This window comes from Homo sapiens, chromosome 17 (assembly GCF_000001405.40).
Source record: "Homo sapiens chromosome 17, GRCh38.p14 Primary Assembly".
NCBI classification, from domain to species: Eukaryota; Metazoa; Chordata; class Mammalia; order Primates; family Hominidae; genus Homo; species Homo sapiens.
This window is the reverse complement of record NC_000017.11, coordinates 22,175,812-22,198,985: the sequence shown is the minus strand read 5'-3', so window position 1 is coordinate 22,198,985 and position 23,174 is coordinate 22,175,812. Positions and strand designations below refer to the sequence as shown.

Below are 23,174 nucleotides of genomic sequence, written 5' to 3'. Positions count from 1 at the left end.
GTGTGGTGGCTCACACCTGTAATCCCAGCACTTTGGGATGCCACATGAGGAAGGCCACTTGAGGCCAGGAGTTTGAGACCAAACTGGGCAATACAGGGAGACCTCATATTTGCAAAAACATTTTAAAAATTAGCTTAGCAGGGCCGGGCGCAGTTGCTTATACCTGTAATCCCAGCACTTTGGGAGGCCGAGGCAGGCGGATCACGAAGTCAGGAGATTGAGACCATCCTAGCCAACATGGTGAAAGCCTGTCTCTACTAAAAATACAAAAAAATTAGCCGAGTTGTGGCAGGCTTCTGTAGTCCCAGCTACTCGGGAAGCTGAGGCAGGAGAATGGCGTGAACCCAGGAAGCGGAGCTTGCAGTGAGCTGAGATCCTGCCACCGCACTCCAGCCCAGACAACACAGCGAGACTCCGCCTCAGGAAAAAAAAAAAAAAAATTAGCTTAGCAGTGCAATGGCTCACGCCTGTAATCCCAGCACTTTGGGAAGCTGAGGCAGGTGGATCACCTGAGGTCGAGAGTTCGAGACCAGCCTGACCGACACGGAGAAACCCTGTCTCTACTAAAAATACAAAATTAGCCGGGCATGGTGGCACATGCCTGTAATCTCAGCTACTCGGAAGACCGAGGCAGAAGAATCGCTTGAACCCGGGAGGCAGAGGGTGCAGTGAGCCCAGATTGCACCATTGCACTCCAGACTAGGCAACAAGAGCGAAACTCCGTCTCAAAAAAAAAATTAATTAATTTTAAAAATAAATAAAAAATTAGCTTAGCATGGCACATGCCTGAGTCCTAGCTATGCAGGAGGCTGAGGTGGGATGATAGCTTGAGCCAAGGAATTCAAGGCTGCAGTGAGCTGTGATCAAGCCACTGGACTTCAGCCTAGGAGACAGAGCAAGACGCTGTCTCAAAAAAAAAAAAAATTCTTCCTTACCCAAGCTTATAAACATATTTACTTGTATTTTCTTCTACTACTTTTACAGACTTTTGTTTGTTTATTGGTTTTGTTTGTTTGTTTGTTTAAGATGGAGTCTCGCTCTGTTGTCCAGTCTAGAGTTCAGTGGTGCAATCTCAGCTCACTGTAACCTCCACCTGCTGGATTCAAGCAATTCTCCTGCCTCAGCCTCCTAAGTAGGTGGGACTACAGGCACATGCCACCATGACTGGCTAATTTTTTATATTTTTAGTAGAGACGGGGTTTCAGCATGCTGGCCAGGCTGGTCTCAAACTCCTGACCTTGTGATCCACCCACTTCAGCCTCCCAAAGTCCTGGGATTACAGGCGTGAGCCACCACACCCATATGTGTTTTTTAACCATATAGTTCTTTGATCTACAAAGAGATTTCCCCAACCTTGCTAGAGAGGTTGACATTCAAATTCAGGCAATTCAGAGAACTCCTGTGAGACAGTGGAAAAGACAACCATCCCCAAAACGCATAATCATCAGATTCATCAAGGTCAGTGTGAACGAAAAAAATATTAAAGCAGCTACAGAAAAGGGTTAGGTCACTTACAAAGGGAACCCCATCAGACTACAGCAGACCTTTCAGCAGAAACTCTGCCACCCAGAAGAGATTGGGAATCTATATTTAGCATTTGTAAAGAAAAAAATCCAACCAAGAGTTTCAGATCCTGCCAAACTAAGCTTCAAAAGTGAAGCGGAAATAAAATCCTTTTCGGATTTGCAAATGCCAAGGGAATTCATTACCACCAGACCAGCCTTGCAAGACGTCCTTAAGAAACCCATTATATCAACCACACTCCCAAACCACATCGCAATAAAATAGAAATTTATACCAAGAATCTCTTTCAAAACCATATAATTACATGCTAATTAAACAACCTGCTCCTGAACGACTTTGGGGAAAATTTAAATTAAGGCAGAAATGAAAAAAAATATTTGAAACAAATGAAAACAAAGATGCAACATACCAAAATCTTTGGGACACAGCTAAGCCATGTTAATTTGGAAGGTTATAGTGGAAAACACCCATGTGAAAAAGTTAGAGATCTGAAATTGACATCCTAAAATCACACCTAGGGAGACGAAAATAACCAGTAGCATATTAAAAAGCTAATCCAGCAGCTTTATTCCTGGAATGCTAGGTTGTTGCAATATATAAAAATTAATAAATGAGATTTATTATAGAAATAAAAATAAAAACCACATGATTATCTCAAAAGACATAAAAAGGACTTTTGATAAAATTCAAAAACACTTAATATTAAATACCCTCAAAAAACTAGGCATTAAAGGAACATATCTCAAAATAATAAGAGCTATCTATGGCAAATCCACAGCCAACCCCATACAGAATGGGCAAAAACTGGAAACACTCCTCCTGAGAACTGGAATAAGACAAGGATGTCCACTCTAACCACTCCTATTCAATATAGTACTAGAAATTCTAAACACAGCAATCAGGCAAGAGCAAGAAATAAAAGATATCCAAATAGGAAAAGAAGAATTCAAACTCTCTTTGCTAATGACATGATTCTATTGCAAAATGCTAAAGAGTCTACCAAAAGGCTCCTAGAATTGATAATCAATATAAGTAAAGTTTCAGGATACAAAATCGATGTGTAAAAATAAGTAGCATTTCCATACACCAACAACATCTATGCTAAGAGTTAAGAGTGAAATCAAGAACACAATTCCACTTACAATGGACTCAAAGAAAATGAAATACCTAGGAATACAGCTAACCAAGGAGGTGAAAGATCTCTACAAGGAGAACTACGAAACGCTGCTGAAAGAAATCAGAGGTAACACAAATAAATAGAAAAAACATTCCATGCTCATTGATTGGAAGAATCAATATCATAAAAATGGCCACGGTGCCTAAAGCAATTTGCATTGCTATTCCTATCAAACTACCAATGTCATTATACACGGAATTAGAAAAAAATGATTTTAAAATTCATAAGGCACTAGAAAAGAGCCCAAATAACCAAAACAATGCTAAGCCAAAAGAACAAAGCCAGAAGCATCACATTACTCGACATTACATCATATTATAAAGCCACGGTAACCAAAATAGCTTGATGTTGCTACAAAAATAGACACACAAACGAATGGAACAGAATAGAAAAATCAGAAATAAAGCCACACACCTATAACCATCTGATCTTCAACGAGGCTAACAAAAACAAGCAATGGGGAAAGGACTCCCTTTTCAATAAATGATGCTGAGGTAACTGGAATTCAATCGCACACATGTTATAAAGGAGTTTAAAGAGTTACTGAAAATATGTAATAATATAAATAAATTGCTCTCTATTTTTGAAGAGCTAAATCAGGTAATTTTAGTAAATATGAATTTCCAGTTTGAAGACATTGTTTTAAACACAAACATTTGCATCTGTTTCTTCTGAGAGTTAGAAGGGGAAATAATAGCAAAAGTATTTTAAGCAAAGAAAAACCAGCATAATGGTAACTGTCAATTGGCCTTAACAAGTAAAATCCTAAAGAGGCAGTATGGACAGCTGAGCAGCAAAGTGACGTGCACTGTGGAACATTTGCAGGGTTCAGTAATTGGCAACATGAGGTAGGTTAGGAGAAAGGGTGAAAATTGGAAGATTGCTTGAAAGTTGGATTTTCTACTTCAGGCAATCAGAAGAGGCTGTCTTTCATTATCTTAGAAAATTGAAATTTATTACCCATCGAGGTAGAAAAAGTATCTGGACCACAGTGCTTCTGGCCACAGTTCTACCACAATTGAGAGGAAGAATACCACACAAATAGGAAGTAGGGGCAGCTAAAGAGTGAAAGATTTATATTTTCAGAAACCTGATTATTCCCTCAAAAATGACCTGATACATTGGCTCTGGGTATTTTCCAGTAATATTGTCTTGCTAGGTCACCACATGTGCAATCCACAAACAGCATGCATGTGTACAAATTCTCAAATAAGATTTAATGACTCCATCTTAAACATGAGTCAAGATCACAGATACGAAAGGAATGTTCTAATATTAAACAGACAAACTTAAAGAAAGCAACTTGGAAAAAACAGAGACTGTGAAGATAGGTAACTAAAAATAAAATAGAAACAGAAAAAAGCAAAAACTTTCATTACCATTTCAGAGATAAAAGAAATGCTATCATGTCTGTGAAACAAGATTATGGTACTTCATAAATACTCAGAGAACAAAAGAATTTTTTAAATTAAATATATGAGCAGAGAATTGAAATTTAGTAGAAAGACTGAAAGATATTATTGTGACACTCTAAGAACAAAAGTGAAACTTAAAATTGCAAACCAGACCAGAACTTTTGTAGACCATATATATGTATGTAATATAGACAAATTATACATGATAAATATATGTATATTGATATATGCTTATATATAACTATATATAAAATTTGTCTGTTAAAGTGTAAAGAAAAGCACAATAATACTATACTTAATTTTAGCAACCAGTGATTCATGAATAAGGCTGCTGTAAACCAAAAGTGGCTGTGCTGAAGGAATGCCAGGGGAAGGCTTTTATACAGAGAACATGGAAGTAAAGTAATGACAATTTTTGAGTCATTAAAGTCAAATATATTAACATTATTATCAATCCAAAAATAGACCAATAAAGCCTTATTTGGTCTATCCTGCTGCAACATTCATAATAACTATAATTAATTGATGGCTTTTGATTGGTTAGCCTTAAATGTTAGTTTTCTTTAATATGGGTATATAAGAGAGATAGCTCAAGTTAAATTATGTTTACAAACCAAGCAAGATTAATATAATATCACTAATGAGGCCTTAATGGGTTTGTCTACTCAGGGGTTCTCCAGTTCTGGTCTCCATTTTACTTTATGCTAACTACATATATGTACACATACATGCACACACGCACACATGTATATACATGTTATACCTATATGTATATGTATACATATACATTGTATAACATAAACATATATATGTATATATAGATACGTTATATACCATAATTTTAATATACATTAATAAAATACCCCTGATGTATATTATATAGAATATAATAATGTAATGCATAATATATATGCATTGATAACATTAATATATATTTTAATATATTATTGAATATATAGTTAATATACCGTAAATTTAATTTAATAATGTAATACTTAAAAAGAACACAGATATAATAGAGAGTAGACAATCATTGAACAAATAATTTAAATTTCTAAGTTGCAAGGCCCCATTGAGAGACAAAAAATGGATGAAAATAGATCCATTCTGGGGCAAATAAGCCTGAAATTTAAGATTACTTGGGAAAAAGAGAATATCCTAGGTGAATTCAAAGCGGAAAAGCTAATATAGTAATGATAAAAAGTTAAATTGACACTGGATTTCTCAACAGCATCTCTGAAGCTGAGAGAGAATGATGCAATGACTTTAACTTCTGAAGCAAATTTGATTTCCAAACTTAAATTATGTCCCATGCTAACAATTATTTGAAAGTTAAGTGTAGATTTCAGATGTACAAGGTCTCAGAAATCTTAACTCCTATGGACTTTAGGAAACTACAGTAGAGCATATAACAAAACAAAGGAGATACCAAGAAAGGAAATAATATGCAATTCTGAACAAAAGGTGATCCAGCACCAAAGTAGGGAATGGATGGAAGCCACGTGACACTGTCAAGATCCTCCTTCAGTACAGGATTATGTGTTACTCCCAGTGCTGGGAGGGCCACCTGCAAACAGCCCTGAGCTGCCAGCCTTTTGAGAGTGCCTTAGCTGAAGGGAGGAGCTGGCCACTCACCGTACCTTGGGATAGCTGTGTACTTTTGTTTATAATCCCTATATTTCTAAATGTCATGCTTATACTCTCATTGCTCCTTGGTTTTTCTGTTTTTGTCATTAAAACAGAGCTAGGGTTGGCTACTGTGTTTTGTTTTTGTAATAGATAAATTTTGTAGATTATTTGATTCTTCAAAATGTATGTATGTTTAAAAATCAAGCTTACAATGTAATGCATTATCGTGATCAAATTGGAGTCACTGGGATATATATCACCTCACACATTTATAATTTATTTTTATTAGAAAAATTCCCATTTCGTTCTTTTAGTTATTTTGAAATATACAATAAACTATTATTAACTATAGTCACCCTATTGTGCCAGAACACTAGGTTGTATTGATTCTATCTAACTTTATTTTTTACCCATTAACCAATGTCTCCTCATCTTCTCCTCCCCACAACCCTTCCAGCCTCTGGAAACCACTATTCTATTCTTTATTCAAGATTTTAACCTTCTTAGCTTTCACATGTAAGTGAGACCATGCAATATTATAAAGTTAAAATAAAAAATTAAATAACTTATATCAAACAGGTATAAAAATGGTGACCTAAATGAAATAAGTCATGAGGTAAAAGGCATTTTCATCCCTTTTGCATTACTAAAAAGGGTGGCTATTCTAAACATCACTAAGAGTAAAGACATTTCCTGATATAAAGATGTTTCCAGAGTTTACTAAGTAGAAAAAAATTTATTGCTTCATACCTGCTTTACATATTTACAGTTTTCATAATCATTAATCTGATATATAAGAAATGAGTTACTTGCCTAAAAAAACTGTAGACAGTTTTGTTGAAACAGCAGCATAGCATATTATTTGTAGCAACTCTACAATATGGTAATAATTTTATTATTCCTTTACTCTTCTTGATGATATAAAACACTTTTTGGTGAGTATATGCTCCTCTAGAAAATCAAACACATATAACTATACAATTATGATAATAGTTTCAGAGACTAAACTTTTTATTATAGATGAAGAAAAACTCCTTAAATTATAAAGCTAGGTAACTGACAAATGTTTTACAGACTAAATAAAATACCTTTGAAGAATTTATTTAGTTCAGTAATAAATTTACAATCCACTATTTAAGTATTAGAATTGTTGAAGTATTTAAATATTTACTACTGGGAAGTCACTCACTTTCATTTTTGAAGTATAAAATTCATTACAAATATAATATACAGCTTGCATTTTCCAAATTCTATTTTGTTTTAAAAACATAAAAAAAAGCCAACTGATCAGATAAAAACCTTACAGATATTTCCAAGATGAACTACCACAATGCTTTGCTTTCTTCTGCTTGTAATGACAAGTTGAGTTAACTTGAGCGAGGTCTTTTGTGTGCGTGGGTTAAGGGCACATTCCTAAAAAAGTCTATAAAAAGTATCAAAAAGTACCAAATCCAGTTGTATAAGAGTGTGTGTGTGTGTATGTGTGTGTGTGTGTTTGGATCCAAATATGAAATGCAAATTTTGTGATAACTCTTTTTGTACCATCTCTCCCTGACCCACTGTACTTCCTAAGTTCTTATGTAGCTTCTGCCCCCACCCAACACTATGTATCCCGAAAGATTTGTATACTGCCTGATGATATGTTCCATTTTTAATTATTTTATATGCAGTATCAATGTATTGGCCCATATTATATTCAAACTCTGAATTTATAAAAGTGAGAAAAACACACCCCTACTAGCGGGCAACTTTCATTGCAGTACTGTTCGGATGTTATTCTTTAACAAGCCAATGGATATCCTCGTTTTTTAATATTGGCTAACATAAATATGTTCTATAAATTACAATAATATATCTAAAATTTCAGGTGTCTGATGGCATATGATGGCATATATATGTATATATATGACTAGCAACGGATTAACTACTGGGAGTTTTCCTCACTACAGAAGTAGCCCACTCATTCTCAAGATACAGATGTTGAAAAGAAGATGAGTACAAAAGCTGATATTTTATAATTTTCCTATTGTAAAGCACACATTTATTTAATGTGTTTTTCCCTGAAGCTTTGTACTCATTTTTTTTTGCATGTAACTTGATCCAAACAGTTTACAAAAACAAATTAGTTGAGATTTTTATATATTGTCTGATTTAGAGCCATTAACCCATTTTAGTGTCTCAGGTTCACAATTTCTAAGACAAGGGTAAAAATAATCACACACTGAGTGATATTTAATGGCTAATAAAAGTACCATTTGAAAAGAGAATTAGTAGTATAACCTTTAAGCTCAGGCTCTCTTAGGCGTGATATATAGCCTTAGGAGAAATAGTTTGCAATTAATTGTGTAATTTCAAGTTTTGTCTTTTCATCACTGTGTTCCCTTTTCAGAGAGTCAGCTACGTAATTACAGACTCAGATGAACACAGATACTTGTGACAAGTAACTATAACCAATAAACTCCAGAAAACTGCTTTTATATCTTTTACTGATTTTTCTGTTTTGTCTTTCTCATTCCCCAAGAAAGGTGAGAGTAATTTATTTGTCCCATCAGAGTATTTTATGTCATTATTATTTCAGACTATCATGACAAGCAGGCTAGAGGTTGAGAATTAAGTTTGAATAAAGTTTGAAATGACATTATAATTTTAATTAATATATTTGATAAAAATATGACTTAAAATGTGTTCTCTTGAAATGAGCATTTTTCATAAAAGAATACAAGAACAACTCACATGTGTTTAAAATTCTATTAAAAGAGGAATAAACTTTTTTATTTGGTTATAATAAACATGCCAGATAATGTATTAATATGTAGTAATTTTAACCTTCCTAAGACTTCTAAATAATCTGAAATATTTGCATCAAAAGCATACAACTGTGGACAATGGTATCAAAACGATATAGAAAAGCAGAGCTGAGCACTTTCAAATTATAAATAAAATTTTCTTACAAATGGAAACACATTTGAAAAAAGATTATTATGACCACTGATCTCTCTATTAGTCAACATAATAAACCAAGACCGATCACTGTTTACTGTTCATTTAGACCAGGTTACATATATGACAAAGTTACTTGCCTATCTGAATATTAGGTACAAAGTTACAGTTAGACAGGAAGAATAACTTCTAGTGTTTTATCACACGGTAGGTGAAAATAGCTGACAATAATGCTTTGTATGTTTCAGGATAACTAGAAGAAATGATCTTGAATGCTATCATCACAAAGAATTGGTAAATGTTTAATGTTAAGGATAAGCTAATCACACTGATTTAATCATTATACAATGTATCCATTACTGAAACATGATACTTTAACTCATAAATATGTACAAACATGTGTCACTTATAATAAAATGAAACAACAAAATCCAAAACTGTTTGTTTAAAAGCAAAAAAAAAACCCACAAGATGAATGTTATGAGTATTACATATATTACAAATGATACAGCCATTATTTTCAAGGGTAATACTTCTTCTCAGATTCTATTTATATGCTGATTATTTTCTCTAATTCCAGATTCATGTATCATTGTTTTAATTCTGTTTTATAAATGTGTATTTTGCAGTTTATTTTTGTCTACCTCATGAAAGTTCTTTTCAAAAGTCACCATCAAGCAATTCAGAAAAAAAGACTTGTTTTAAGTGTAATGTTGGAAAAATTAGCTGATTTTATCTAGTGAATAGGCTGTTATGACTTTGAGGGAAAGAAATAGATACTAATAATACTTTAATAATAATAATAATGAAACGTGACAGACTTATTTACTAGCTGAAAACACTATACGCTATTTCTAATGAGCAAGCTGATTAGATATGATTGAAATAGATTTTACACTTACTAACAAAAAAATTATACTACTTAGAATACATTTTGGAATTTGGGGTCTTTGAATTGCTATTTGATTCTATAATCTCACCATACAGAATATTCTTGATTTATATTTTACATATGTTTTTAAAGTTCACAAGGTCAATAGGGTATAAGGTGTTATAACAATAAAATATTTATATTTATCTTATTTAAAGTTGCATATTCTTGTTTGTCTTAATGTTTTCTCCCTCCAGTCTTACTCTCTGCCAGGACTTTTGTTTCACTAACGCTGACACTCATTTTTTTATGTGAACTTTTTGGAAATCTTTTACCGTATTGCCATCCCTTAGAGGATAAATCTATCTACCAATGTTATGTTCACAGCTGTTCTTCACCCTGTTGTAGTTTTTCATCCCAGTGTTATCACTTCCTTCTCAACACTCCTTGGCATTAATGCTTTATTCTTCCTTTGCTTCCTTTGCCTAGAATGCTCTCCCCTCCTTCCCACGTTATGCATCTAGTCTAGTGGCATGTCCTTTAACTTTTACAGCATATATAAGACTTTCCCTTTTCTACGATAACTTTTTTGAAAAATTTATTCAGTGTCAAGTGACTTTGTGGCTTCTTTTCTATTTACTCATACTTTTTTTACAATTAACTGTGCATATTTAAATTGTGGAAGTTGGTAGGTCTTATACGTAAAAATGCATTGTATTAACACAGTGAACAAATCCATTACCTTCAAATGTTTTCTCATGTTCCTTTCAGTCTCACTCTCCTAATGCTGCCTAGTTTTCATCCCCAAGGAAGCACTGCCCTGACTTTTGTCAGTATGGAATAGTTTGTGCTCTCTATAATGTTACATACATGAAACCATTTAATATTGTCTTTTTTGGAGGCAGGTAATAGCTTGACTCCTTTTACTTAGTATAATTCTTGAGATTTATCAATATTGTTGCATGTATGAAGAGTTTTTCTCTTATTGACGAATACTCTTCCATTGTATGGATATGTTCATTTTTTTCACCATTCCCCTATTCATAGACACTTGGGTTATTTCCAGTATTGGGCTACTAGGAAAAAATTAGTTATGAAGATCAGTGTACAAGTTTTTGTATGGACATATATTATCATTTATTTTGGGTTAATATCTAAGGATGAAATAGCTGGCAGGTATTATGTTCAATGTATGAAGATGCTGCCAAACTATTTTCCAAGGTGGTTATAAAGTTTGATTTTTTACCCAAATGTGTGAGAGTTTTATTTGTTCTCCATCCACAGCAACACGGGCTACGATCAATTTTGTTGATTTTAGTTCCAATAATATGTACGGTTTTCTCATGGTCATTTTAAGTTGTATCATCTCATCCCAGTTAAAATGACTTTTATGCAAAAGATAGGCAATAAAGAATGCTGGTAAGGATTTGGAGAATAGAATAATCTCATACACCATTGGTCGGAATGTAAAGTAGTATTACCACTATGAACAGCTTGGAGGTTTTTTAAAAAAAACTAAAAATAGAACTACCATATCATCCTGCAATACCATTAATGGGTGTACACCCTAAAGAAAGTAAATCAGTGTATCAAAGAAATATCTATACTTTCATGTTTATTGCAGCAATAATATTGCAGCAATTGTTTATTGCAGCAATATTCACAATAGCCAAGGTATGAAATTGACTTAATTTTCCATCAATAGATGAATGGACAAAGGAGTGTAGTATATATACATAATGGAGCACTATTCAGCCATAGAAATGAATGAGATCCTGTCATTTGCAACAACGTGAATGGAACTGAAAAACATTATGTTAAGTGAAGTAAATTAGGCTCAGAAAGACAAATATTATATCTCTTCACTCATATATGGAAGCTGAAAAAATAAACTCATGGAGATAGAAAGTAGAAAGATGGTTTTCAGTGGCTGAGAAGGGTAGCAGAACAAGGGGATAGAGGGGAAATGGTTAATGGGCACAAAAAAATACAATTAGAATGAATAAGATCAAGTATTCAGTAGCACAATAGAGTGACTGTAGATAATAGTCGTTTGCTGTATATTTTAAAATAACTGAAAAAGTAGACTTGGAATGTTCCTAACACAAAGAAATAATAAATAATTGAGGTGATTAATATCCCAGTTACCCTGTTTTGATAATTACACATTGTATGTCACTATCAAAACATCACATGTACCCCATTAATATAGACACTATTATGTACCCATAATAATGAAAAGTAAATTGATAACTTTAGCCAATGGAAGGGTTTTATAATTTGTACTTAATTATATTGTTTAAATTTAAAAAAATAAAATATGCTTTTCAAAAACCATAAGACAAAAAATTAAGCCATAGACAGAGACAGTTTCAAGTAATATTTTTAATAAGAAATTCTCAAAATTCAATAATTATCCATTACTTTGATATAGACCTTCCTCTAATTTGATTCAACTTTTCACTTGCCTGCCTCTTAAAAGATTTACATTCCTTGAAATTAGAGAGTTTTTATATTCTAAAATTTTTTGAGTGATTGTAATAGCCTTCTCATGTAAAAGCCTCCAAAAGTTTGATAAATGCACATATAATTTGGCGCTGGTTATATAAAATCTATATTTTTACTTATATATTTTTATTCTTGTAGTCAATAGTATCAATGAATGATAAAGTTAAAAGGTATATATTCCTATTATGTTTTTTTAAAAATTGCCAGCTAATAGGTAATGGCTTACATATGTAAATATGTATAAAGAAATAGAAGATTGTCTTATTTTTCAAATAATATTTGTGAGTAAAGATATACAAACTGAAATACATCATTAGAAATAGCTCTGATATATTTAGGCATTTGAGTATTATTTTAAACCTGGGGAAAATTTTATGTAATCTCTTCATATTCTTCACTGTAATATTTTAAATAACATTTAACAAGACTGTAATTTATTATTTGAATTGAAATATTGCTTTCTGTGGAACTGACTTTTCAACATCAGTGTAAAATATGGAGACAGGTTGAGAAGTTATTCTGATTGTGGTAATTTGATAGCACAACACGGTGAATACAGTCAACAATAATTCATTGTACATTTTTAAATAACTAAAAGAGTATGGTCAGACTGCTTGTAACACAAAAAAGGATGAATGCTTGAGGTGATGGATATTCCATTTGTCCTGATGTGATTTTGACGCATTGTATACTTATATCAAAATGTCTCACATATGCCACAGATATAAATACCTATTATGTAGCCGCAAAAATAAAAAATAAAATGTTAACAAATTAACACGAGTGCATTTGAGTTAAAATTTAGATGACATAAAGTCATATAGAAATTTTAAAAATCCATCAAAAGTGGCCAGGTGTGGTGGCTAATGCCTGTAATCCCAGCACTTTGGGAGGCCAAGGCTGGTGGATCACGAGGTCAGGAGATCAAGACCATTCTGGCCAACATGGTGAAACCCCGTCTCTACTAAAAACACACACACAAAAAAAATTAGCCGGGTGTAGTGGTAGGTGCGTGTAATCCTAGCTACTCGGGAGGCTGAGGTAGGAGAATCACTTGAACCAGGGAGTCGGAGGTTGCAGTAACCAAAGATCATGCCACCGAACTCCAGCCTGGCAACAGCATAAGACTCCGTCAAAAAAAAAAATCTTCAAAAGTGAGAAGGAACTAGTAACTCTAAGATATATGGAATAGGAAGACCAGTGTTGAAGTCTTCAATTATACCAATGGTTTATTACATAACTCCTGGAGCCAAGATTAAACATAATTCCAGGGCAAAAAAATGTTTATTTATTTTCAAATAAAATAAGATAAAACTCTGACTAAATGTATGAGAATTCTTCACATGAATCACAGGTATCTGACTATGAAAATGAAGCAGACATGCTATTAGCCATTATTGGAAAATGTTACAAAAAATTATCCAAAAATGTTACCCAAAGATGATTAAGAAGTTCTTAGTTTGATTTGGAAAGATGTAATCACCTTGTATTAAACTCTTACTAGATCTTAATACTTAATAATTGAAATTAATAATTTATATAAGCTCCAATGCTATTCAATAAGCATTTTTGATAAGCATCTGGGGTCAAGCTACATTTTGTAGCATCTTTCAGTGTTGTTGAATTTTGCAAATGAAAATATTTTAAGACAAATTGCTCTAAACTTCCAATGCCAGCCCAAACCATAGTGACCGTTCTGCCAAAACTAAAACATTGAACAACATATGCGAAACAGTAGCTTTCAAGGCATTCACCAAAGGTTGGTAAATACTTTCTTTCGGCTTGCTTGACTAAAAGAACAAATCTACAGCTGAAACCTCTGAGCTTCCCATGGCTTTTCCAACTCCATCTATACCATTTCCCCTCAGAAGTATAAGAACCAGTCCACTGAAGGTTCCTCATTAACCTAATTAATGGTACCTCATTTCTTCTGTTTAATTCACCCTGCTTTGATGTAGGTAGCTGCTTCCTAGTCTTTCTGTAATACCTCAATTCCCGAGTTGGAAACTTCCTAATATTTACATCACGTGAGCATTTCCTTTTCGATTTTTTAGTATTATACTTTTCAGGATTTTCTTGGTCAAGAATAAATGCAGACAGTATATATTTTGCCACTTTTTTCTCTATAATTACAAGTGGAATTTAAATTCTACAAAATTAGTCTCGTAGAGAAAAATATGTTTATTTGTGTCTAACTAACCTTGTTGATTTACCCAGAAAGTATGACTTCCATGTGTTTCTTCCACATCATCAAAGTTCTATAATGCCAACTATTGTACCATCTCCTTATCAGTGTGCAAAGATCCACTCACAGAGGATTTTTCACTGAGTGAATTTGTTTGTTTCTTGGGGGAGAATAGAACAAGTTGATGTTCTCCCATGGGACCTAATAAAACCTTATGAACCTCTCTGCTCTGAAACACTGCACTATTCCAAACCATCTTGGCAATGTTGATGATTTGTAAAAAGCCAGATCAGCTCTAATTCTTAATGAGAATTGTGAAAGAAATACGAATTAAAAGCTTGACTATATGCCATAGTTCAAATTAACATTCATTTCCTAATTCTAGTAAGATTGTGCAATTAACATAATACTACTTAACTCTGGATTCACATAATTTCTATTTTACCTTTAAATTTAAAATATCATGCTTCAGTTAAGTAAGACTCTAAAGTTATAAATTATTTCTTGATACATATCTAAAAATTGAAATAAATCCACAATGGAAAGTTTTCCATAGCTTGAATTTTTTTATATATTTCCAACTGAATTGTAAGTGTATCATTTTTTATATAAAGATTATTTTATTACAATATTTTGCTGTATTTAGTTTTCTCTATTTCTTATGCCTTGGATATGTATTAGACATAAACAAAGATATGCTTTTAGACATAAATTGATATTTTACATTTCTGATATTGATAGGGTCTTTTTAATCATTCTTGCTAGTATTTGGTACTGATTAGCTTCACATCTTTAGATATATTACTTTATGTTTTTATTTCTTTATCTCTAAAATAGAAATAATGGTGGTATCTGCCACAAGATAGTCTACAAGATTCCTGCTTATCTTGCATATTCACTTTACTTTCCCTCCCAAGAAAACTTTCCTTCTCCTAATTTTGTTAAATATTCAAGTTTCTCTAATTAACTATATAATTTCCTGAGAGTTAAAAATAATGCTTTCAGGATAAGGTACTCTCTCAGTCTGCATGACCTTGCACAATTATATCCTTGATTACAACCAAATAATACTCATTGCTTCAATCAATGTAATGGGAATATAAATATCCAGTAGATTTTGATTCATATTTGGCCCTTAAATATTGGTTGATGAATTGCTACTGATGTTCATAGAAACTCAGAAGACAAATTCATAACACTCTTTTTAGCATGATATTCCTAAATAGTTTCTCTATTTATTCTTTGTCTTCTAAATATAATGTACTTTATGGCAACGGACAAAGAGGGAGAGAGCTTGTGCAGGGGAACTCCTCTTTTTAAAACCATCAGATCTTGTGAAAATTATTCACTATGACAAGAACAGCACAGGAAAGTCCTGCCCCCGTGATTCATTTACCTCCCACCGGGTCCCTCCCACAACACATGGCAATTCAGGATGAGATTTGGGTGGGGTCACAGCCAAACCATATCACTCTGCCCCAACCCCTCCCAAATCACATGTACTTACATTTCAAAACCAATCATGCCTTCACAACAGTCCCTCAAAGTCTTAACTCTTCTCAGCGTTAACTCAAAAGTCCACAGTCCAATGTGTAATCCGAGACAAGGCAAGTCCCTTCCGCCTATGAGCCTGTAAAATCAAAAGCAGGTTAGTTACTTTCTAGATACAGTTGGGGTAGAGGCATTGGGTAAATATAGCCATTACAAATGGGAGAAATTAGCCAAAACAAACGGGCTACAGGCCCCATGCCAGTCCAGAATGCAGAAGGGCAGTCAAATCTTAAATTTCCAAAATCATGTCCTTTGACTCCTTGCCTCACATCCAGGTCATGCTGATGCAAGAGGTGGGTTCCCATGGTCTTGGACAGCTCCACCCCTGTGGCTTTGCAGGGTACAGCCTGCCTCCCAGCTGCTTTTACAGGCTAGCATTGAGTATCTGCAGCTTTTCTCTGTGCATGGTGCAAGCTCTCTGTGGATCTACCATTCTGGGGTCTGGAGGACGGTGGCCCTCTTCTCACAGCTCCACTAAGTAGTGCCCCAGTAGGGACTCTGTGTGGGGGCTCTGACCTCACATTTCCCTTCCACACTGCCCTAGCAGAGGTTCTCCACGAGAGCCTTGCCACTGCAGCAAACTTCTGCCTGGATGCCACTGCATCCAGACATTTTCAAACATCCTCTGGAATCCAGGTGGAAGATCCCAAACCTCAATTCTTGACTTCTGTGCACTCACAGGCTCGACACCACATGGAAGCCACCAAGGCTTTGGGCTTGCACCCTCTGAAGCTATGGCCTGAGCTCTACATTGGCCCCTTTTAGCCATGGCTGGAGCAGCTGGGACCCAGGGCACCAAGTCCCTAGGCTGCACATAGCACCGGGACTCTGGGCACATCCAACAAGACCACTTTTTCTCCTAGGTCTTGGGTCTGTGATGGGAGGGACTGCTGTAAAAACCTCTGACATACCCTGGAGACATTTTCCCCATTGTTTTGGGGATTAACATTCAGCTCCTTGTCACTTATGCAAATTTATGCAGCCGGCTTGAGTTTCTCTTCAGAAAGTGGGATTTTATTTTCTATCACATTGTCAGGCTGCAAATTTTCTGAACTTTTATGCTCTGCTTCCTTTATAAAACTGAATGCCTTTAGCAGCATCCAAGTCACATCTTGAATGCTTTGCTGCTTAGACATTTCTTCCACCAGATACCATAAATCATCTCTCTCAAGTTCAAAGTTCCACAGATCTCTAGGGCAGGGGTAAAATGCCAACAGTCTCTTTGCTAAAACATGACAAGGGTCACCTTTGCTCCAGTTCCCAACAGATTCCCCATTTTCATCTGAGACCACCTTGGCCTGGACTTTATTGTCCATATCACTATCAGCATTTTGGGCAAGGCCATTCAGCAAGCCTCTAGGAGGTTCCAAACTTTCCACATTTTCCGATCTTCTTCTGAGCCTTCCAAACTGTTCCAACCCCTGCCTGTTACCCAGTTTCAAAGTCACTTCCACATTTTTGGGTATCTTTTCTGCAGCGCTGCACTCTTGGGACCAATTTACTGTTATTAGTCACGCTGCTGATAGAGGCATGCCCAGGACTGGGCAATTTACAAAAGAAAGAGATTTAACTCGACTTACAGTTCCACGTTGCTGTTGAAGCCTCACAATCATGGTGGAAGGCAAGGAGGAGCAAGTCACATCATACCTGGATGGCAGCAGGCAAAAAGAGAGAAAGCTTGTGCAGGGGAACTCCTCTTTTTAAAAGCATCAGATCTCATGAGACTTATTCACTATCATAAGTACAGCACAGGCAAGACTTGCCCCCATGATTCAATTACCTCCCACCAGGTCCCTCCCACAACACATGGGATTTCAAGATGAGATTTGGGTGGGGACACAGTGAAACCGTATCAAATGTGATCAGCAAAAGTATCTTGTCTTTGTAATTAAAGAATAAAGAAAAGTGTGTGTGTGTGTGTGTGTGTTTGTGAACTATGAAGATCATTAAAATAGTGAAATTAACTTGTCAATTGTAGTATCATGGAAATTGTGATTCACCAAGAGAGTAAATAACAATTGTACATGCTCTAAATTTATCATCAATATCAAAGCTTTATTCTCTTTTACTGGGCTTATGTAAGAAAATAATGTTTCTAAGCAAGTCATTAAAAAATATAAAGCAAATCTATTAATGCATCTGAGTTGAATGAAGTGATTATTTATTTATTTATTTGAGATGGAGTTTCGCTCTTGTTGCCCAGGCTGGAGTGCAATGGCATGATCTTGGCTCACCGCAACCTCTGCCTCCCAGGTTCAAGCAATTCTCCTGTCTCAGCCTGCAGAGTAGCTGGGATTACAGGCATGCACCACCAGGCCTGGCTAATTTTTTTTGTATTTTTAGTAGAGACGGGGTTTCTCCATGTTGGTCAGGCTGGTCTTGAACTCCTGACCTCAAGTGATTCACCCACCTCGGCCTCCCAAAATGCTGGGATTACAGGCGTGAGCCACCGTGCCCAGCTTGAAGTGATTATTTTTAAGGAAGGTGATAGGATAGTTAAAAACCACACAACTTTCTCATGTTCTGTACCCACCAGCCACTCTGCAATTATCAGTAGGTAGCAAAGCCCCGAACTTGGTCTTACGTCTTATTTTACATACAGCAACAGACTAAACTGTAATCATAATATCTGCCTCAGGAATCTGCTCCAATTTTAATAAAATTGTATATTTTATAGTATGGAGTAACTATCGGCTGAGCTTTGATTCTGTGATCTGGTTCCCTTTCAACTTGTGATCTTTTGAGGTGGAATAGATTATATATTTTCCAGTTGCAAGAGGATTAATGAGATCTTCTTTTAAATCATTAAGGAAAGCTTGGAAAATAATGTGAGCCAAAATTTGGATTATTGTAAGAATCTACACTCTCTTCTTTGTTTTAGTTGCATCTTCCACAGCTCCTCTAAGCAAAAGCACCACATTGCGTATTATTTCCTGTTGAGCAGGAAAGAAATATAGCATATGGTCATGCTAATGGGAATTGGGAGTAAAAGTTTTGTCCAGGCTTGGACCAGAGCTTATAACAGCAACAACAAAAATAAGAATAACAAGTATCAGGTTGAATTATGAGTTCTCTACTGGGGATATATATATATATATATACACACACACACATATATATATACATAATATGTATGTATATATATGGTTTTGATTTGTTCATTTTTTATGCAAAGATAAGCAGTATTGTAAGAAATAAAATCTAGAAACCTAGCAATGAACATGGACTTAAGTGTTTTCCCTTTGCTGTCATCCAACTCTTCAATGAGGCTTTGAAATTTAAAACCACACTTATTTTAATAGCCATGTGTATATATTTCCATTTGTAATATTTTAAATAATAAACTTAAAATATTATAAGTATATTTAAAGTAAATAAACTTGCTTTCTATTTCTTCTTCTTCCCAAATGCATCTCTTCTACCACCAGACTTATACTGACATAAGTTACAGGAAGTGTTTATATTCTTACTATAGAACAATCAGCTGTGCCTCTAGGTTGCTTGAGGCAGATGTCATTCCAACTGACTTGAAAAGGATAATGACCTTCTGGGACCTTGACACTGATTGTGCAACCTGAATGAAATATGCCTCTTTGGAAAACTCTATACTTGTCCAATATTGGAAAGTAACCTTCTTGTAAGAAAGTGAATGCCCAGATCCCCAAATGACTTCGCCTCCTCACTTCTGTGCAGCAGTGAAGTGTAAAATGGTAGCAGATAAAATGCTACCTTTGTTGTTTATAAAATACTGTAAAGTTTGAAAAGCACTTTTTCCTCAGCCCCAAAGGAATTTTATAAATGAGAAAAAAGTAAGATAAAATATTTAGTATCTGGTGAAGAAAGTTTATTTAAAAAACCATTAAAATTGTATATTAAAATGATGAAAATTATAGTAATAAGACTCAAGTTTCTCCTTTGCAAAACTCAAGTAGGAATTATTTTCATTGAAATTTATTATTTTAGTTTTAATGGAAATGTAGGATGGAAACTTTCTTCCAAAATTTTTAATATTATGTGATTAAGCATATTAGTGAAAATAGTTGCTCTAATATTTTTCCTCTTACAGCATTTTGATAGAAAAAGTTTTCTCCATTTCATACAGAGTATGCTGGATTATATAAAATACTTACAAATTGTTTATTATTCTTACGTTAAAAGCCACACGTTAAATTCTTCCCACCCCACTGATTTAACTCACAATATCCCTTGCACATAAAATATTTTTTCATCTGATATGTGTCTGCTGTTATCAAATTCTAAACTTTTTACAAAGAATCCTTTGATTCATCATCTCATACCAAAATAATCTCTTTTTTTCTCTGAAAGTGTATCTATAGGCCAGGTACAGTGGCTCATGCCTGTAACTGCAGCACTTTGGAAGCCTAAGGCAGGCAGATCACTTGAGGCTAAGAGTTTGAGACCAGCCCGGCTAACGAGGTGAAACCCCTTCCCTACCAAAAATACAAAAATTATTCAGGCATGGTGGCTCACACTTGCAATTCCAAATACTCAGGAGGCTGAGGCAGGAGAATCACTTGAACCCAGGATTGGGAGGTTGCAGTGAGCTGAGATCGCACCACTGCACTCCAGTCTGGGCTACAGAGCAAGACTCTGTCTCCTAATAAATAAATAAAATGGAAGTGTATCTACAGTTTTGTACATATTTCTGCACTTAATACATTTTAATTTACATGATTTATACCACTGACCAAAATATAATTTCTTTGAAGACAGCATGATATTCTTGTTTTTACTTTCTAAATAATCTAACAATAAAATAGAGGAGTGTATAGGAAAGAATTTTATATTTCATTCACATTCTTCCTTCTTATTGTGAGTAATTAAAGAAACTAATCTCTTTGAATTTTTTGTCTTATCAATAAATCAATAATTTTAATGCATGTCTCAAAGCATGTTTTTAATTATTAAATACAATAGCATTTCTGACACATAAAAGTCAGTATTTGTCTATTCCTTTCCCATAGAAATATACCCCTGATATATATACTAAATAAATGGATAAAAATATTATTGTCAATATATAATATATCACTGTTCTTGATCAGATACAAAGGTTACTATGGGGAAAATATTTGAAATTTCAAGAACTTATCGAAAATTTGGAAGAACAAGATGATTTTTTGTAAATTGAAGACTATGAGGATGGCAGTTGTTTTTCATCTTCCCTCAAAACAAAATGAAGATAATGAATTGATTAATTTTTGTAGTGCTACTAAAAATGTAAATGAAGTTGAGATTTCAAAATGAATTATACATTAACAAAACTTTTGCAATTCAGCATTGGTTTTCCATTTTTTTCAAATATCCACCCCTCCCACAATCAATGGGTTTTGTCAATCAAATTTTCTTCCATTCTCCTATTGAATATGTGATGTATAATTAAAGTTCATTAATTAGGTTTATTTCCTGGGAAACCCACTTCTAAGGAGACAGAACAAAAATTCCAGCTTATTCTTTCTTGCATAAGAATTAAGAAAATGATGTTCAGTAGACCTACAAACTCCCCACTACCTTTTCTAGGTTCTTTTCTTTGTATAATATTCCCTCGATTTGGAAAACCACAGTTTATTATTTCAAGCAATTTTTTTTTTTTTACTTAAGTTAACCTCATTCCATGTTTGTTACTTGAAACAAAAATACTTAAAGTAAGCAGCAATATAACTTTAAGGTATACTCTACAAAGCACTTACCAGTTTCTATTCGTATTTCCTGCAGATATTTCTAGGCTTGTTTAATAAATAGGCTCAGTCCTTCCAGTTTAAAAACTAGCCTTCTCAAAAAATGTGTCACTCCCTCATAATAAAATTGTATATTTTTAAAACTCCACTTGTCACTGAAAAGTGTTTTTTAAGTATAGTTTTAAATGTATTGCCATCACTGAAATACCTCGCATTCATTCTTCAGCACACTAGGTTGTGTGAGAATCCTGAAACAACTGGCCCAAAGTTGTCAGATTCAAAATTAAATGTCAAGTGACCGGTTGTTATGCATATTATTAATAGACTCTAACCTTCTGCAAAGCTGCCTGTTGTTCTAGACAAATATATAATTAAGGCATCACATCGTCTTTAAACTGCTATTACCTGCATATTAACATGATATATAGCTAATCTAAAATTCAATTTAAGGCCATGAACATCTTCTAAATCTTATCTGTATATCGCTAAATAGATTTCTCATGGAATTAATCAATGTCATGAAGAGTATGACTTCTTGAAAATCATTGCCTCAGGATTTGATCATGGTGACCAGATAGTAAAGTCCAAGGCAAGAAATTTTCCTTTCCTTGAGCAAACATTTTCAAGATACTAGTTGAGACACTTGATCTATAACAGTGAAAAAGGCTTGCTTATAGTGAAACATCATTGCTAGTGTGGTTCTTCTTGAGCCTACTAAACAATAAAAGCCATAAAAATTACCCAAAATATTTATAGTTTATAAAGAAAATGCAAAGCTCATTTTAGATTCATATTAACATGGATTTAATAAATCCAAGCTGATTTTGTCACATAATGTATTATTATCAAGTGAACTATTGTATAAATTTTGAGAATAATTTACTATTAAATAAGTATAAATATCACATTTATTTTTTGAAGGAAAGATATGTCCATGTATTTTTCTTTAAAATTTTTCTCATTTACTAGCCAGGCATGGTAGCACATGCCTGTAATCCCAGCTACTCGGGAGGCTGAGGCAGGAGAATCGCTTGAACCCGGGAGGTGGAGATTGCAGTAAGCCGAGTTCGTGCCATCCTATTCCAGCCTGGGCAAGAGCGAAACTCCACTGGGAAAAAAAAATCCATAGTTTAGGCCGGGCGCGGTGGCTCACGCCTGTAATCCCAGCACTTTGGGCGGCCGAGGCGGGCGGATCACGAGGTCAGTAGATTGAATTATCCTGGCTAACACGGTGAAAACCCGTCTCTACTAAAAATACAAGAAATTAGCCAGGCGTGGTGGCGGGTGCCTGTAGTCCCAGCTACTCCGGAGGCTGAGGCAGGAGAATGGCGTGAACCCGGGAGGCGGAGCTGGCAGTGAGCCGAGATCACGCCACTGCACTGTAGCTTGGACGACAGAGCGAGACTCCGTCTCAAAAAAAAAAAATTTTTTTTTTCTCATTTACAATCCACTAATAACTAGAAGTCATGAATTGATTGGGTTATTTGATCCTTTTAGATAATCAATTTGCTCCATTGGACTTTTTTCTTCACCTGATTTCACAACAAATCTTGGCACATAATAATAAATTGTAAGATTTTTCTGTTTAGGCATTATGGAAGAGAAAGTTTAAATAACATATTTGCCAGTGTATATAAAACTTGGCTACAGGCTCACGCTTGTAATTCCACCACTT

The 23,174-nt window shown here is 34.5% G+C and overlaps 1 pseudogene across 1 annotated transcript in view; it reads right to left on the bottom strand.

Moving 5' to 3' along the window:
- UBBP4 (ubiquitin B pseudogene 4) overlaps positions 1 to 23,174 on the bottom strand; it is a 114,402-nt pseudogene that overhangs the window by 6,166 nt on the left and 85,062 nt on the right. The window contains exons 2-3 of the transcript NR_176224.1: positions 17,381 to 17,447; positions 15,757 to 15,879 (exon numbers count right to left, since the gene is read on the bottom strand). The product of NR_176224.1 is annotated as a ubiquitin B pseudogene 4, transcript variant 1 (transcript). The remainder of the gene's footprint in view (positions 1 to 15,756; positions 15,880 to 17,380; positions 17,448 to 23,174) is intronic.